General features: G+C 44.4%; 1 protein-coding gene across 5 annotated transcripts in view; it reads left to right on the top strand.

The window, feature by feature from the left end:
* The window catches only part of MYO10 (myosin X), a 274,382-nt gene that overhangs the window by 232,745 nt on the left and 22,359 nt on the right, over positions 1-19,278 (top strand). For all 5 annotated transcript variants that reach the window (XM_006714475.4, NM_012334.3, XM_005248307.3 and 2 more), the window contains 7 exons: positions 386-619; positions 956-1,001; positions 1,706-2,581; positions 3,971-4,094; positions 8,930-9,173; positions 13,625-13,720; positions 17,713-17,806. In XM_006714475.4, coding sequence (XP_006714538.1) covers positions 386-619; positions 956-1,001; positions 1,706-2,581; positions 3,971-4,094; positions 8,930-9,173; positions 13,625-13,720; positions 17,713-17,806 — 1,714 coding nt within the window. The remainder of the gene's footprint in view (positions 1-385; positions 620-955; positions 1,002-1,705; positions 2,582-3,970; positions 4,095-8,929; positions 9,174-13,624; positions 13,721-17,712; positions 17,807-19,278) is intronic.

Here is a 19,278-nt window from a genome sequence, read left to right as displayed (position 1 = left end):
CACTACGTGTTACATTTTCTGAAGCACAAAGCTGTCCTGCTGTGATGATTTTTTTCATATGAACAGGAGAATATATCAGATCTCTTTGGGAACTATTTACCCAACTTTCTGCCAAGACTACTTAAAGCCAACATGAGGGGTTATGTGTTTATTTAGCCAAGATAGTGATAGGCTTCTTACTTTAGTTTTGTTTGTTATTATTTCTTTGTTTTTCTCCTGTTTTGTTTTGACCAAAGGGGCCTCCTTGTTCTCTCCAGTTTCCATAATGAGAGTCTCATTCTAAAACTGGGTCCTCTTTTGTCTTGTAGCCTTGATGTGAGCTCATTTGAATAGCTCAAAGCCTCATTACTTCAATGCCGATTCTCTTGTTTTCTTTCATTTTCAGAAAACAATACAGAAAGGTCCTTTATTGTGTGGTGATAATACAGAAGAATTACAGAGCATTCCTTCTGAGGAGGAGATTTTTGCACCTGAAAAAGGCAGCCATAGTTTTCCAGAAGCAACTCAGAGGTCAGATTGCTCGGAGAGTTTACAGACAATTGCTGGCAGAGAAAAGGGAGCAAGAAGAAAAGAAGAAACAGGAAGAGGAAGAAAAGAAGAAACGGGAGGAAGAAGAAAGGTACAGTACCTTTCTTGCTGGGATGAAACAAATGGATACATTTTGAGTGCTGTGCTCGGTATCTGTCTGTGCAGCCAGAAATCCCAGCAGATGCCCCAGAACCTACAATTTGAAACAGTAACTCTAGGTGGCTAGAATATAAAATTCCTTGGCAGCATTAAAGACCCAGTTCTGTGAATATTTTTATTCATACAGAATAAATCCATGGCCAGAGGAAGGGGCTCTGTCTTTCATGCTTTCTGTCTTTGGCAAAGCTGTTTTAAAAACGTAGATCTCTCTGAAAAGTGGTTCCAGGGTTATTGTTGTTGATTTTCACTTTTCCTTTACTATTTTTAGAGAAAGAGAGAGAGAGCGAAGAGAAGCCGAGCTCCGCGCCCAGCAGGTAATGAGTGCAGTGACAACTTAGCCTCTTGTGTTTCTACTTCCTTCCCACTTCTAATGCTTGGACTCTAGGATTCAAAACTGAATTAAAGTAGAAAGATAACAGGAAGAACAATTTAAGAGGATGTGTTTATGATCCAATTTCTGACCTATTACAATTGGGTAAAGCGTAGTGAATGGCTGAGGTTTTAGTGTGCATCACAAGAGTATAATTTCTCTAAATCGGTATAACCAGCGTGTTAGTTTGCTAGGCCCACCACAGCCAAATACCACAGACTGGTGGATTGAACAGTGGAAACTGATTTTCTCCCAGCTCTGGAGGCCGGAACTGCAAGATCAAGTTATCCTTAAGTTTGATGTCTTCTGAGGCCCCTCCCCTTGGCTTGCAGGTGGCCGTCTGTCCAGTGTGTCCTCACGCAGCCTTTTTTCTCTGTGTGACCTAGTCTCCTGTTCCCAAAAGGACACCAGTCATCTTGGATTGGGGCCCACCCTAGTGAACTCATTTTAACTTAGTCTCCCCTTTAAAAGCTGTATCTCCAAATGCAGTCACATTCTGCAGTATTGGGGTTAGGACTTCAACCTATAGACTTTATGGGGACACAGTCCAACTCATAATGACCATATTTCATCCTGGTTGCAAAGCGGGAGCTATGCTTGGACTTTTGTACTGAAGCCTTCTGAAATCTCCCTTCTGCTTCTGTCCAGGAAGAAGAAACGAGGAAGCAGCAAGAACTCGAAGCCTTGCAGAAGAGCCAGAAGGAAGCTGAACTGACCCGTGAACTGGAGAAACAGAAGGAAAATAAGCAGGTGGAAGAGATCCTCCGTCTGGAGAAAGAAATCGAGGACCTGCAGCGCATGAAGGAGCAGCAGGAGCTGTCGCTGACCGAGGCTTCCCTGCAGAAGCTGCAGGAGCGGCGGGACCAGGAGCTCCGCAGGCTGGAGGAGGAAGCGTGCAGGGCGGCCCAGGAGTTCCTCGAGTCCCTCAATTTCGACGAGATCGACGAGTGTGTCCGGAATATCGAGCGGTCCCTGTCGGTGGGAAGCGAATTTTCCAGCGAGCTGGCTGAGAGCGCATGCGAGGAGAAGCCCAACTTCAACTTCAGCCAGCCCTACCCAGAGGAGGAGGTCGATGAGGGCTTCGAAGCCGACGACGACGCCTTCAAGGACTCCCCCAACCCCAGCGAGCACGGCCACTCAGACCAGCGAACAAGTGGCATCCGGACCAGCGATGACTCTTCAGAGGAGGACCCATACATGAACGACACGGTGGTGCCCACCAGCCCCAGTGCGGACAGCACGGTGCTGCTCGCCCCATCAGTGCAGGACTCCGGGAGCCTACACAACTCCTCCAGCGGCGAGTCCACCTACTGCATGCCCCAGAACGCTGGGGACTTGCCCTCCCCAGACGGCGACTACGACTACGACCAGGATGACTATGAGGACGGTGCCATCACTTCCGGCAGCAGCGTGACCTTCTCCAACTCCTACGGCAGCCAGTGGTCCCCCGACTACCGCTGCTCTGTGGGGACCTACAACAGCTCGGGTGCCTACCGGTTCAGCTCTGAGGGGGCGCAGTCCTCGGTAAGTACCTGCCTGGCGTGTCCCAGTGAAATGGGTGGCCGGTCACACCCACCCCTGTTGCATCCTCAAGTTGAATGAAGATACCCGTAGGATATCTGTGCAAAGATTGCAGAGTCGTGGTCTTAGAGATCATCTTAAACCTTTTGCTTATTCCATAAGCCAATTGCATTCATAAGTAGAACTTTGATGTGCCTGTTTCAGTTTTAGCACAAAGCCTAGAGCTGAGCTGTGCCCAAGACTTCAGAAAACTGGCTATTTATTTATTTATTGTTGTTGTTGTTGTTTTTGAGGTGGAGTCTTCTCTGTCATCCAGGCTGGAGTGCATTGGCAGGATTTTGCCTCACTGCAGTCCCCACCTCTCGGGTCCAAGCTATCCTGCTGCCTCAGCTTCCTGAATAGCTGGGATTACAGATGCCCGCCAGCACACCGGTCTAATTTTTGTATTTTTAGTAGAGATGGGGTTTTACCATGTTGGCCAGGCTGGTCTTGAACTCCTGACCTCAGGTGATCCACCTGCCTCGGACCCCCAAAGTGCTGGGATTACAGGCGTGAGCCACCATGCCCGGCTTAAAACTGGCTTTTTAAATGGAACTTTTGTTTATTTTATTTTATTTCTTCCTTCCCTTTTTTTACAATTTGAATGGAACTTTTAGCTTTGCCGTGCTGCGTTAGGAAATGAAGACACATCCTGAACTGGAACAAGACTTGCCAGGGGTGAACTGGCAAACTTTCCTTGTACTAACTTCACAATCCAAACCACACGATGTTATTTCTTATAGTGGCTGTAAAGGAAGAAGCTGCAGGGCTTAAATGTACTCTTTTCCAGTTTCTGGATTTATCTGTAGTTTACTTTTATTTTGTCGCTTTGGTCGTGCATTGAATGTTCTCTTGACTTTCAAAGATTTGAAAATATATTTAATATAGTAATTCAGAGGGGGTGAACTCTTGCATGGTTTGATTAAAATTATAGCCTTAAAAAGCATTGTTAGTTTTAGGGCAGATAGCCTTTGGATTCAAGTATATCTTGTCTTTCATGTATCAATTCAACTGACCATTTGACCTTAAAAGTTGGTATTTTTAATTCCGAATTATTTGTGTGCTACCGTAAATCAGGCGTATTGCTTGTCAGTTGTTTTTTTTCTTTTTCCTTTTCCCTTTTTTTTTTTTTTTTTTTTTGAGACTGAGGCTTGCTCTGTTGCCCAGGCTGGAGTGCAGTGGCACGATCTCTGCTCAGTGCAGTCACTGCCTCCTGGGTTCGAGTGATTCTGCTGCCTCAGCCTCTTGAGTAGCTGTATTTTTGTATTTTTTCAATGATGATACATGCTGGGTATCTTCGTGGCTTGCTTTGTGGCCTTTTCCCTCACCGTTGGCTTCTCTCTCTCGGTCCAGTTTGAAGATAGTGAAGAGGACTTTGATTCCAGGTTTGATACAGATGATGAGCTTTCATACCGGCGTGACTCTGTGTACAGCTGTGTCACTCTGCCGTATTTCCACAGCTTTCTGTACATGAAAGGTATGACTGCAGCCGCCATGGAGTCTGGGTTAGGGGGAGAGCGAGGCGTTATTTTATCCGGGCTGATGGATGGCGGTGGGAAATAACGGAGGTGTTATTGTATCTGGGCTGATGGATGGGGACTGGGAAAGTCGTTCTACCTACCCTTACCTCAGTGTTGGGCCACTTAGATGAATGAAGGGACACCTTGTCATGTTGGTGTGACATGGGTGCTGTGGTCCTACCAGCATGAACACAGTCGTGACTCCCCTGGTTTGGTGCAGAGTGGCAGGACGAAGCATTTGCAACCACTGCCTCCAGTATCAGTCCTTCTCCCCTGTCTCTCCCTGTCTCGTTTTCCTTTCTTAGCTCTTTCTTCATCCTTCTATTTTCTCTCCCTCTCTCTCCCACTTTCTCTTTCACTGTCTCCCTCTCTGTCTCAGTCTCATTGCTCTCTCTCATATATACAGACATACAAACCAATGTGTGTGTTGCTGCTGCTGCTGGAATTGGTCGAGACCCATTCTCATGATAAACTGCATGTTCTCGGCCGGGCGTGGTGGCTCACGCCTGTAATCCCAGCACTTTGGGAGGCCGAGGCGGGTGGATCATGAGGTCAGGAGATCGAGACCATCCTGGCTAACACAGTGAAACGCCGTCTCTACTAAAAATACAAAAAATTAGCCGGGAGCGGTGGCGGGCTCCTGTAGTGCCAGCTACCTGAGAGGCTGAGGCAGGAGAATGGCGTGAACCCAGGAGGCGGAGCTTGCAGTGAGCCGAGATCGCGCCACTGCACCCCAGCCTGGGCGACAGAGCCAGACGCTGTCTCAAAAAAAAAAAAAAAAAACTGCATGTTCTCTCCTGCCAGGGATATTAGAGAGCCTAAAAGGATGTGCTAGACATGGGGGAAAGTGAAGATCTCACTGAGGCCCACTGCTGGCTTGAACTGCTCACCATACCTACTTCATGATGAGCATTTGCATTGTATGCTTTGATTGTTACTAACATTTGAGTATACTTTGCTGAACCTTAACACTTAGGGGCCTTGAGGCACACTCCTTTTGGAAAATTATTTACTATTTATTTATCTATTTATTTAGGTATTTATTTAAGACAGGGTCTTGCTCTGTTACCCAAGCTAGAGGGCAGTGGTGTGGTCATGGCTCACTGCAGCCTTGAACTCAGGTTCAAGCCATCTTCCTGCCGCAGCCTTCATAGGAGCTAGGACTGCAGGCGCACACCATCATGCCAGGCTAATTTTTTATAGAGATGGAATCTCACTATGTTGCCCAGGCTGGTCTCCAACTCTTGGCCTCAAGCAGTCCTCCCACCTTGGCCTCCCAAAGTGCAGGAATTGCAGGCATGAGCCACCATGCCTAGCCAGAAAATTATTTAATTATTTAATTGGGACCTCATATTTATGCTTTGTTCCTGTTCTTGACTCTGACTCGTAACTCAGTGACAGGGATAATAAGAAACCATAATCATCACCAATTTTGGGCAGGAGTTTTACGTGGATGGTTAAAAAGAAGGGACCGTCCTGTTTCTCGCATGGACCTAGACTGGAGAGGGGAGAGAGTCGAGAAGGTGGAGATGGGCAGGGATATGAGAACCTTCCTCCCCAGGTCTCCTCTTCCTGCTTTCTCCCATATTTGATTTTTAAATTTGTCTTCTTCCTTTTTCTTCACTTTCCTTTTTATTGCCGTCTTTCTTCATTTACATTTACATTTTCTTTTTTTTGTCTTCACCACCATGAAAACCTTTTTTTTTTTTGAGACAGGATCTTGCTCTGTTGCCCAGGCTGGAGTGCAATGGCACAGTCGTGGCTCACTGCAGCCTCCACCCCCGGGGTTCAAGTGATTCTCCTGCCTTAGCCTCCTGAGTAGCTGGGATTACAGGCACACGCCAATGCCCAGCTAATTTTTGTATTTTTAGTAGAGACAGGGTTTCACCATGTCGGCCAGGCTGGTCTCGAACTCCTAACCTTGTGATCTGCCCTCCTTGGCCTCCCAAAGTGCTGGGATTACAGGAGTGAGCCACCGCGCCCAGCCATGAAAACCCTTTTATTCCATTTTCCCTTCTTTCTTTCTGTGCTTCTCTTTTCTGTTAGCTTCTTTACGTTTTTTTCCACGTCTTTTCTTTTGTTATCTTCAATATTTTTTTTCTGTTTTCTTCACTTGTGGCTTTGTTTGCTGGATTCCTTTTTTGCTTCACCTGCTCCTCTTAGAAAACATGGGTCTAGTGACGACTGTCAGTCATTTGCCTTTCAGAGTTCTGCCATCCTCAGCTTTGGAGCCCCACAGTGCTCATGAAACCCCTAGAAGGTTTGGTTTAGGGGAGACTTTTAGTAGGACTGTTGGAATGAAAAACATCAAGGGTGAGGTAGCCAGCACTGGAACACCTGACAAAGGAAAAAATGTCATTGCAAATCAGAACCTTTGATCCAATAAGTATTTAATCATAGCATCTTAAGATTTTCTCAGTTAGAAATCATCTTAACTGTTTTTACTAATATATAATTCCCATTCCTCAATTTTTAATTCCCTAAGTTAATTTGAAAATTCTCTTCAATATTCCTCTTAATGTATGACATTGATTTTTTTTTTTTTTTTTTTGAGACAGAGTCTCGCTCTGTCACCCAGGCTGGAGTGCAGTGGTGCGAACTCGGCTCACCACAACTGCCGCCTCCCAAGTTTGAGCTATTCTTCTGGCTCAGCCTCCTGAGTAGCTGGGATTACAGGCGTGCGCCACCACGCCTGACTAATTTTTGTATTTTGAGTAGAGACGGGGTTTCACCATGTTGGCCAGGCTGGTCTTGAACTCTTGACCTTGTGATCCACCCGCCTCAGCCTCCCAAAGTGCTGGGATTACAGGCGTGAGACACCACGCCCGGCAGCATTGATTTATTATACAGTTACTGGATTAAAACCAGTAAGAGTAGGAAAAAAGTAAAGACACATTCAAAGTATTAAAATCAGGGTCAAAGAAGTTAAATGGGTGAGTTTTCGGCATCTCTTAAAGCTATTGTGTAAATGCAGCCTCATTTAATACTTAATAAAACTTTAATTAAAGCAGAGCCAAAAAGTTTCAGAGCAACGAATGAATGAAAAAGAAAATCTAATCACCAATTTATATTTTATGGGCATAAATAAATTTTTACAACCAAATAACCTACTAAAGATGTTTGCAATTAGGAAATTATAGCATTAAGTGATTCTCTAAATGATGAATTATCAAGAGAGGGCCTGAAATTGCAAAGGGAGGGCCAAGAGTGAGTGCTATCAATAAATAAATAAATAAATCTAATTAATCAATTAGATTAAATAAACTAATGGTGAGAGCTGTCGTGATGACTCTTCTAATCTTTGAAACAACTGTGAATAAGCTTTATCATTTAACAACAACAAGATAATAGAATAATTTTGCACAGTTTTCCTCCAGGCTTGTTTTGAGAAACCCAGATTAAAGTCACAAATCAAAACACTAATAATGTTTCATTCTGGTAGCCGTTGGCAAGTTTGCCATATGTTAGGACACGGCTCTGCAGCTTGGCACAATTACCAAAGATGTCTCAGCTAGATGAGCAGGGGCCTCTTGGACAAAAGGAGGGAGAGGAGTCTAGAAAGTTCAGTGAAGCAAGTGCACTGTCTGGTTTTCACACAGTGAACGCATAAAAGGATAGGATTATACTTACTTTAAATATCCCATGTTTAAATGACCCTTATTTTCATTACTGGTTGGTCAAAAGAAAATAATGTGTGGACAGTCTTATAATAACAGATGTGTGTCAGATGTTGATCTTGAGCAGGTTGGGGAATCTGGAATACAAAATTATCCTCCCTGAAGAGCATAGCAAGATTTTTTTATCCTATGAAAGATAACATCTGTATATTTAAGTTCAAATCTTAGTGTAGTTTGTACTCTTGCTTTCTTTTTTTTTTTTTCATAGTCTCAGTCTTATACCTGTAAACCATTTTCAGATGATGCTTTTCTTTGAAAAGATGTTTTTCTCCAAAAAGCCATATTGTCTTTACCTGTGTAAGTTAGACTTTATCAGTCAACCCTGGAATCACTGATAATTCTTGTTCGCACATTGACCAAATATGGAAGGAAATGGGTAAACTTTGTTTATTTTTTGAGACGGAGTCTCACTCTGTCACCCAGGCTGGAGTCTAGTGGTACAATCTCTGCTCACTGCAACCTCCTCCTCCCGGATTCAAGCGATTGTCCTACCCCAGCCTCCCAAGTAGCTGGGATTACAGGCACGCACCACCATACCCGGCTAATTTTTGTATTTTTAGTAGAGACAGGGTTTTACCGTGTTGGCCAGGCTGGTCTTGAACTCCTGACCTCAAGTGATCCACCCGCCTCGGCCTCCCAAAGTGCTGGGATTACAGGCATGAGCCACCGCTCCTGGCCCAAAAAACGGGTAAAGAAACTGGTAAACTTTGACACCATGTTAAAATAATTTTCCCTCTCTGGTGCATTTTGGGATAAGCCTGATCCATACATAGGGACATGGTTCTCACCCTTGGCTTTTGACTCATTCCTGGGTTAGAGTGTCAGTTCATTACTTGCTTTTCTATTGGCTCCTTTCAAAGCTTTCTCAGCTAAGTGAGCAGGAACTCCTTTGGATAGAAGGATTCTTGTATAATCCAGCCTGGCTGGTGTGACATCTGTGTGGTGCCCCCAGACATGAGCTAGCAGTGCCACTCCTCACTGAGGGGTCTCTGCGGTGCTGCGGCTGGGGCAGAGTCTAAGCTCGGCTAGACCTTAACACCTGCTATGCATGTTGTTGTCATCCAACTTGACTGACTTTTCTTTCACCCCTCTCTACCCAATCTCACGGGGAACAGGTGGCCTGATGAACTCTTGGAAACGCCGCTGGTGCGTCCTCAAGGATGAAACCTTCTTGTGGTTCCGCTCCAAGCAGGAGGCCCTCAAGCAAGGCTGGCTCCACAAAAAAGGGGGGGGCTCCTCCACGCTGTCCAGGAGAAATTGGAAGAAGCGCTGGTTTGTCCTCCGCCAGTCCAAGCTGATGTACTTTGAAAACGACAGCGAGGAGAAGCTCAAGGGCACCGTAGAAGTGCGAACGGCAAAGTAGGTTGCTAAGCCTGGCTGTGGCCCGATGGGTTGCTCATGGTTTATGCTGGTGGTCATAGAGCCATGCTGTGCAAGTTCCTTGCAGCGGCAGTAGCCTGTAGCAGGTGTCCTGATAGTTCAGTTCAGTAGGTTAAATTACTAGGAAACTGGGAAGCAAGACTTAATCCATGAGTACTTTGCTTTTTGTGATTACACTCAGACATGTGGCTGTCATTTGGAAGATGGCCAGCCAATTGGATCTGGAAGTTGCCTGGTGGAAACGGAATTGAATGTGTGGAGGAAGAATGGTGTGAATTTGGAACAAGTGGCTGAGTCTTTTTATGGGTTAATGTATCACTTTCAATTCCTTACTCCAGCTGTTGCCAGCAGATAAATTAGCTAAATTAAAAGCAGACAGACTGGAGGAGTTTTCCGAAATAAATCACTTCTCTTCTGTTATACCAGTGTTGGTTATACTAGCCATCCCCATTCCCAGCAGTGAGAGGAACAGGGCTGGTCTTCAAATCCAACATGCCCCCTTTTCTGCCACACCCTTATAGAACCAAAGCTTTGGACTATTGAGGGCCTATTATTTTTGTTAAAAGACTAAGTAATGTTTCCAGAAAATTGTTGGGAGTTACAAGCAGCTGGTTTTCTGGGGTAACTAGATACTAAGCCTGAAAACATGTTTGGGGATAACCTGTAGCCGTACTCCACTCAAAACTGAGTGACCTCAAATATTTAGAAAAGTAGTAAAATAATCTTTGAGGGATCAAATTAATGCCTGAAGTCAGGAGCCTTAAAAGTAAAATGTTTCTAATCAGCCAGCATCCGCAACTTCAGAAAAGTATTCATTGTAAAGTGGAAAGTTAAATGAGGAGAAGAAAGTCTTTTATGTATTTGATTGTAAGGGAAAACTCATGTCTCTGCAGACGGCAGAATATTGGACATTTCCAGGCTGTCCCTTTGGAGTTCATGAGGTGCGGGAGTGCGCTTGTGAGAATCCTGGGTCTGAATCCTGCAAGGGTTCACAGCAAGGCATGGCTCTGTTGCCTCTGCCATCTTCTCTCAGCCTCACATACCGTGATGTTCCTCATCTGTCTATAGATCAATTGATTGACTGACAGGGTCTCACTCCCATTGCCCAGGCTGGAGTGCAGTGACACGATCTCGGCTCACTGCAGCCTCAACTTCCTGGGCTCAGGTGATCCTCCCACCTCAGCCTCCCGAGTTGTTGGGACTATAGGTGTGTGCCACCACGCCAGGCTAATTTTTTGTATTATTGGTAGAGACGGGGTTTCGCCATGTTGCCCAGGCTGGTCTCAAACTCGTGGGTTCAAAGCCATCCGCCTGCCTTGGTCTCCCAAGTGCTGGGATTACGGCCATGATGTTTCTCTTTAATTATCCCATAGAAGGGGCCACAAGCACCAAGAAGCTGTGAGAGAGGGAGGCATAGTATTGAATTTCACCAGAGTACATTGATGTATGTTTCTTTTGCAACTCACTTTGTATGCTGCTTAATAAAAGCTCTATTCTTAGGTGCTTCATCAGAATTATACTGAGTTATGGAAATGTTAGCTCTTATTCAGCCATTTCTGTCACCTCCTATAGAACAGGAACAGTGAGTTATTATGGAAAACTTCAATCATGGGCAAGAGTGGGTGGAAGAATATAATAAACCACGGACTTATTCCAGAGCTTTCGGTGGCTATCCACCCATGGCCAAGAGTGTTTCATCCACAGTTCTATCCAGTCCGCTCCCCCAGCAAACCACCTCCTTTTATAGCAAGTCCCTATCATATAATTTCTTCTGTAAATATTTAGTAGGTATTTAAACATTCTAATACATAATCACAATACCATTATGACATTAAAAAAATAATGTTAGCTCCTAATATTATCCAAACTCCCAGTCATTGTTCAGATTTCTGCAGTGGCCTTATTTTTTTATTTTTATTTTTATTTTTTTGAGACCAAGTCTCACTCTGTTGCCTAGGCTGGAGTGTAGTGGCACAACCTTGGCTCACTGCAACCTCTGCCTCCCTGGTTCAAGCGATTCTCCTGCCTCAGCCTCCTGAGTAGCTGGGATTACAGGTGCCTACCACCATGCCTGGCTAATTTTTGTATTTTTAGTAGAGACAGGGTTTCACATATTGGCCAGGCTGGTCTCAAACTCCTAACCTCAGGTGATCCGCACACCTCAGCCTCCCAAAGTGCTGGGATTACAGGCGTGAGCCACTGTGCCTGGCCTGCAGTTTCCTTATAAGTGGAGGTGGTAGTGTTCTTGTTGGTTTGGGTTGGTTTTATAGTTATTTTCTTCAAGTCAGAATCCAAATGAGGTCTAGATGTTGTCACTGGTTTTTAGATCACTCAAGTCTCTTTTAATGTATAGATGCCCCTCTGCCTTTCTTTCACTTGCTGTTTGTAATGGAACATGTTAGCTCGCTTATCCCATGGTTTCTAGATTTCACCAACCCTATATGGGCATGTGTTTGAACGTGTTTCTCTTTCTCATTTGTTTCTTGTGAATTGGTCATTAGACCTAGAGAGTGATCGAGTTCAGGTTTTCTTTCTGTTTAAGAGTGCTTCACTTGTGTTGGTATTGATTTCTGTTAAGAAGGCTTAGAGTAGCTGGTTGTCCTCTTGTGATGTCAGCAGTAGTTCTGATCTTGATTTTTTTTTTTTTTTTTGATACAGAGTCTCGCTCTGTCACTGAGGCTGGAGTGCAGTGGCACCATGTCGGCTCACTGCAACCTCTGCCTCCAGGGTTCAAGTGATTCTCCTGCCTCAGCCTCCCGAGTAGCTGGGACTACAGGTGTGCACTACCAAGCTTGGCTAATTTTTGTATTTTTAGTAGAGACGGGATTTCACCATGTTGGCCAGGCTGGTCTCAAACTCCTGACCTGAAGTGATCCGCCTGCCTCATCCTCCCAAAGTGCTGGGATTATAGGCATGAGCCGCCACGCCCGGCCCTGATCTTGATTTTTTTTTAAATATTTCATCTCAGTGATTCTAGCTATGAGGTCAGATAATACTTATTTTCTAACCAGACTATTTTAGTTTTGTTGCTGTAAAATACATGTTTTATTGTGAACATTTGTACTTTTTTTTTTTTTTTTGAGACGGAGTCTCACTCTTTCGCCCAGGTTGGAGTGCAGTGGCGCGATCTCAGCTCACTGCAAGCTCCACCTCCTGGGTTCACGCCATTCTCCTGCTTCATCCTCCCGAGTAGCTGGAAGTACAGGTACCTGCCACCTCACCCAGCTAATTTTTTTGTATTTTTAGTAGAGATGGGGTTTCACCGTGTTAGCCAGGATGGTCTCGATCTCCTGACCTCATGATCCGCCCGCCTCAGCCTCCCAAAGTGCTGGGATTACAGGCGTGAGCCACCACGCCCGGCCGAACATTTGCACTTCTTTAGTTATCAGAGCAAGCTGGCTTTATGCCCCAAACCCTTCTTCATCAAACGTATTACTATCTCTGGTCTGATCCTAACATCTGCTGCTGTTTTACCCTGATTTTGTTAACCTGGTTCACCAATTTTATTTCTCTAGTGTTGTTTAGGGAGGGTTGCAGATGAGATCAAGATGGTATTGAGACCAAACACCCCAAATCCTGCGCCTCACTCCCAGCACCCCTGATGGAAATAATGTGCACATCTCAAGCAGAATTCAGACGCAGATGCCCTGGCCTTAAGCTGGGAGAGAGCTGTGATGAATTAGGGAAAGAGCTCACGCCGGGCCGAGGTTGGCTTTTGTAGATTTGAGAAAGGGTCCAAAGGAAGTTGCAGGCAGGAGTGGGGGCTGCTGCCCCTGGCCTGTCTGGGTCCTGAGCAGGGGTGGGCATTGGGCAGACCAGTGTGAGGGGAGAGAGCCTCTCCCCTAGAGAAGTCAGGGGAACCCTGCTATCCCTGGCCACACCAGCAGCCTCCTCCCTGGGCAGCAGAGATGAGACTGGCTCCCCCTAGAGGGTGTCTTCATCATTGCTAAAAGAAAAACCATTGTAGGTCCCTCCATGTCTTTTGGTGACGGGTTCCAGAACCACCACCCCACTCCCCACCCCACTGCAGCCATCAAAATCCCCAGATGCTCGAGTTCCTGCTATAAAAGGATGTAGTCATTGCATGTAACCTATGCATATTCTCCCACATGCTTCAAATCGTCTCTAGATTACTTACAATAGCTAGTATGTTGCAAATGCATTGTAAATAGTAGTTACACTGTATTGTTTTTTAATTTGTAGTATTATTATTTTTTAAATTGGATTTTTATTTTTGATCTGCTGCTGGTTGAATCCACAGGTGCAGAACCCACAAATCCTGAACTCGCAGATATGGAGAGCCAACTGTGTACCGTTTCGTCAGTAACAGACAGTTCCCAACTCTAGTCATTGGCTTCATTAGTTGCTTTCCTCAGTTATTCAGAATTTGGTGTTCCTGATGTGCGTTTGTTGCTTTTGCTTCTTTGCAGAGAGATCATAGATAACACCACCAAGGAGAATGGGATCGACATCATTATGGCCGATAGGACTTTCCACCTGATTGCAGAGTCCCCAGAAGATGCCAGGTGAGTCTGCGCTGTTGACTTTGTGTTACCCACATCCTGCTCCCTCATGCACAGGTGTGAGCATCACACAGAGCACTGTTTACTGTACTGGCCTTGAAAAATTTTAATTGACTTTTTTTGAAGAACCAAGAGTCATACGAGATTGATGCACTTGTCCCTTGGGGAATCTTTCCCTGGGCAAATGTGTTCAAGTACAGCACAGAGTTCAGGATTTCCAGCCTCCAGTGCCACTAGACAGATCCATTGTCACCTGTCTCTCAGGCTGTTACTGTCACCGGTAGCGTGTGTAAATTATACAGCTGCATGAAGCTGAAAATCTACCCTCTGGAAGCTTCTGAGCTTTGAAAGTGAATCATTTGTGTTTGCATAAGGACGAAAAAGGGCAGGGAGCAGTAACTAATGGCTGTTTAAGTAACTGATAGTGCTATGGCACTGGGGGGTTTTAAAGATCTTAATATTGAAGAATTCAACGGAAGAGGTACTAACTTACACAGAACTTACTATTAGCTTGGTGCAAAAGTAATCACAATTATATTTCAGGCTAATATTCTAAATGTTTCATACCTAAGTATTTCAGGAAGTATTCTAAATGCTTCATAAATATTAACTCTTTTGATTCTCTTGGATCCTGCAAGGTAGACATTAATTATTACCATCATCCATACTTTGCAGAATAAGAGACTAGGGTACAGAGAACGGTTAGTATCATTTGTAATGCAGTGCAACCTCAATTCTGTTGAATGGAGACATTGAACTTCTTAAAAACATTTGCTCCTAAGGAGCTTTAACTTTTGACTGAGATTAGAAGAGGGTGGAGGCCTTCATTGGCTGGGGCAAGTTGTCTGTAGCTTCCTGGACTTCAGGTTTCCATGCTGGAGTGCTGAGGAGACATAGCACAAAATTAAGGAGACTTAGCATTTGCTCTTCAGTGTGATGGATCACAGGGTCACCTTGTGGATCTGACACCGTGGAACGTCTGTCCTGTCTATTCCTGCAGCTTGTGAGTTTGTGAGTCTGCAGGGTTATGCTGGAGGTGTCTGAGCAATGCCAGAGAACATCTTTTTTTTTTTTTTCTTTTTTTTTGAGACAGAGTTTCTCTCTTGTTGCCCAGGCTGGAGTGCACTGGTGCAATCTTGGCTCACCGCAGCCTCCACCTTCCAGGTTCAAGCAATTCTCCTGCCTCAGCCTCCCAAGTGGCTGGGATTACAGGCATGCACCACCACGCCTGGCAAATGTTGTATTTTTTATAGAGATGGGGTTTCTCCATGTTGGTCAGGCTGGTCTCGAACTCCCGATCTCAGATGATCTGCCCATCTCAGCCTCCCAAAGTGCTGGGATTACAGGCGTGAGCCTCTTCCTGGCTGAGAACGTCTTTTAATTTACGAGGGTAACATCCAATAGCCGAATTCTTCAATTCTCAGCCCCAAGATCATTAGGACCTTCTAGTATGTTCTCAGGACCCCTCACTACCCCTTGCCCTTTGAATCTTTCTGAGTTGATACAGTACCATGATAGCAACATTAAGGGTAAAGACACCAGAAAATAATTCTTCCCATGGGAACAAACTAAAACACCTGCTTAGACCCATAAATTCTAACACAAACTGGAAAAACAAGCAAACCTGGAATTATAGCCCATCATTCTGTCTGGGACTCCTGGAGACCACATGTGGTTGTTTGTGGCCCAGGGAATGCCTGCAGCTTTTCAGCTGAATTATAGGCCCAGCGTTTGGCAGCTGCCCTGTCTGTTTTATGCCACGATGAACCTGCTAAATTTAACCTTTGGAATATTTTAGCCAAGGACTTTTTCTCCTGACCAGTGGAACACTATTTTAAAAAAATTCCTTTTCAGATTCCAAGTTATACTTGATTCAAGAGAAGAAATTTATAAATTTAAGAGTCTAATCTAGACAGAATTGAAAGTGCAACAAATTTGATGCCTTTGTGTATGTGATTCCTACAACTTGAATGTATGTCTTTTTCAATGTTTAATTTGGGATATTTTTGAGATGAGCAAAGCAATGAAGTCTTGCTGTTTGGTTAACCAGAATGGATAGTGCAAATTTATATTAAAGTGTTTTCCTTGTTGTATACAAGAGATATGCATATCTCTTGTATATGTTGAATATTTTCAAGCTTGTAGTCACATTTTTCTCCCTTAGGAAGCACGCGAGATAGATTTTAGTGCTTTGCTGTAAATCGTTTGCACAGCCTACCTTTACATATGGTGTCATTTTTTTAACTTAAACATGCCATTGGATACCAAGTACTTCCCCTCTGCCTTAAACAGTAGGAGTATATATATATTTTGTGTCTTATAAGCCCCCAGCAGGAGAAGGATACCCTAGCGTCTCTTTCATATTTGATAGCGCTCACATTTTGTAGTTGGTCAGTAAATGCTAGATGGATGCATGTCTGTTCATAGTCATTTTCCTGATGCTTTGTTCTGCTTGATTTTTCTTAAGTTGACATGTTTTGTTTCGTTTTGTATTTGTTTTTTTTGTGAGGCAGAGTTTTGCTCTGTCACCCAGGCTGGAGTGCAGTGGAATAATCGTGGCTCATTGCAGCCTTGGCCTTCTGGGCTCAGGTGATCCTCCTGCCTCAGCCTCCCGAGTAGCTGGGACTATAAGCATGTACCACTACACCCAGCTAATTTTTTATTTTTCGTAGAGACTGGGCCTCAGTAAATTTCCCAGGCTGGTCTCAAATTCCTGGGCTCAAGCCATCCTCCCACCTTGGCCTCCCAAAGTGCTGGAATCACAGGTGTGAGCCACCATGCCCAGACACGTTTTCCTTTATTTTCTGATTGTGATGAGGTTGGATGTGAGAGTACTCATTTGAAATAAAGATGGAAGAGTTCTCTGGTCAAAATAGTTTTCTACTTTAAAACAGTTATTTTTCATTTCCAACTCTCCTGTGGTTTTATTGACTTGAGTAGAAATGCTGTTAGATGGTTGAAAACCCCATCCTGGGAATACATAACAAAAATAGACATCTAGGCCAGGCACAATGGCTCATGCCTGTAATCCCAGCACTTTGGGAGGCCGAGGTAGGTGAATCACCTGAGGTCAGGAGTTCAAGACCAGCCTGGCCAACATAGTGAAACCCCATCTCTACTGAAAATACCAAAAATTAGCCGGGCATGGTGGTGTGTCCCAGCTACTCGAGAGGCTGAGGCAGGAGAATCACTTGAACCCGGGAGGCGGAGGTTGCAGTGAGCCGAGATTGTGCCATTGTACTCCAGCTTGGGCAAGAAGACACATTCCATCTCATAAAAAAAAAAAATAGACATCTAGTGGCCATTCCAATATGATACTCTCCATTACATGTTGAGTATCCCTTACCCAAAATGCTTGGGACTGGAAGTGGTGCAGATTTTGGAGTTTGGAATATTTGCATTAGACTTACCGGTTAAGCATCCCTAATCTGAAAATTTGAAATGTTCCAGTGAGCATTTCCTTTGAGCATCATGTCGGTGCTCAAAAAGTTTTGAATTTTGAAGCATTTCAGATTTCAGATTTGTTTTGGATTATGGATGCTCAACCTATATTGATCTTCTCACCTTAAAATTTATGTTTTAAAACAGAAAAAGCACCTGAATGTTCCCTAGTTTATAAGTAATATCTTAAGTAAGGATCCTTGATATAAGTATTTTGGGTAGAACTGAGGATTTATTATTTGCTGTTAATTTCTCAAGGAACTCATTCATCATCGTCAAATGTCTGTAAAGGTCTATGGGACCTGGAGAAAAGGCCGTCCATTGACCTAAAGTTAGAACATAATATAGCACTAAAAGGCATTTACACGTACTTTATCTGCTTCTTCTCACTTTATTCTTTGGTAATGAAACTGACATTTACCCCTAAGAAGTAATCAAATTAAAAGCAAAGGTGCTTAGAGATGTCATTTTCACAGAGCACGTGCAGTAGGGCACTATTGCTTTGCCAGTACGAGGTTGGCCTCTCCTTGACAGTTGCTCTCTCTTCCCCACAGCCAGTGGTTCAGCGTGCTGAGTCAGGTCCACGCGTCCACGGACCAGGAGATCCAGGAGATGCATGATGAGCAGGCAAACCCACAGAATGCTGTGGTACGGGAGCACTGTGTGGGATGGGGGTGGGGCGTCTAGGGGCAGGGACGGGGAGGGCGTCAGGATGGTAAAAAAGGGAAAGATTGGGAATTTCCAGACAGTCTTTTTTTAAAAGGTAAATATAGAATAATTAAGGAGAAAAACAGGACCATTTGAGTTTAGAATCAATACAATAATAAATATAATAAGTGGTACAATATAATACAATAATAAATACAGTAAATTAAGTTGGACACTGTGGCTCATGCCTGTAGTCCCAGCACTTTGGGAGGCTGAGGTGGGAGGATCATTTGAGGCCAGGAGTTCAAGACCAACCTGAGAAACATAGCAAGACACTGCCTCTATGAAAAAAATTAAAAATTATCCAGGCATGGTATTATGGGCCTGTAGTCCCAGCTACTTGGCAGGCTGAGGCAGGAGGATTGCTTGAGCCTGAGAATTCGAGGCTACAGTGAGCTATGATTGCGCCACTGAACTCCAGCAGCCTGACCCTGTCTCCTAAAAAAACAAACAACAAAAACGAATAAATTACAGAAGGTTGTAAGTAGTAATACATTCCAGTTCTCTCACCTCAAACCTTTAAAAGAACAAAAGAAATAATCCTACTTTTTATGAAGTCACGGAAGTACACATCACACTTACTCTTCAGAGGACTTGGTGAAATCTAAATTGTATTCTTATTTTTTTTTTTTGAGATGGAGTCTCACTCTGTCACCCAGGCTGAAGTGCAGTGGCGAGATCTCAGTTCACTGCAACCTCCGCCTCCAGGTTCAAGCAATTCTCCTGCCTCAGCCTCCCAAGTAGCTGGGACTACAGGCGCTTGCCGCCACACCCGGCTAATTTTTTGTATTTTAGTAGAAACAGGGTTTCACTATGTTGCCCAGTCTGGTCTGGAACTCCTGAGCTCAGGCAATCCACATGCCTCAGCCTCCCAAAGTGGTGATACAGGCGTGAACCACTGTGCTGGGCCGAAATCCAAATTGTATTCTTTGTCTTCCCTCTATCCCAGACACAAAGTTACAAAACCCTGCTTTGGAAACCAAGTTTTATTTCCTCATCAGAAAATCTTGAAATAAAGTTTCTTAGGAGAAGAAGTGTAAGATTTAATTAAAGGACACAATATAATCAGGAAATTTGTACTATTGAAAGAAGGTCATAAACACTGTTCACTGAACATATTTTAAGAATAAGAGGGGCCAGGTGCGGAAGCTCAGACCTGTAATCCCAATACTTTGGGAGGCCAAGGCGGATGGATCACTTGAGGCCGCCAGGAATTTGAGACCAGCCTGGCCAACATGGCGAGACCCCATCTCTACTAAAACACAAAATTATCCAGGTGTGGTGGCCCACACCTGTAGTCCTAGCTACTTAGGAGGCTGAGGCACGAGAATCACTTGAACCTGGAAGGCAGAGGTTGCGTTGAGCTGAGATCACACCATTGCGCAGCCTGGGCAACAGAGTGAAACTCTGTT

The sequence above is a fragment of the Homo sapiens genome, chromosome 5, assembly GCF_000001405.40.
Source record: "Homo sapiens chromosome 5, GRCh38.p14 Primary Assembly".
Taxonomy (NCBI): Eukaryota; Metazoa; Chordata; class Mammalia; order Primates; family Hominidae; genus Homo; species Homo sapiens.
Note: the sequence above shows the minus strand (reverse complement) of the source record. Positions and strands in the feature narration are given on the sequence as shown.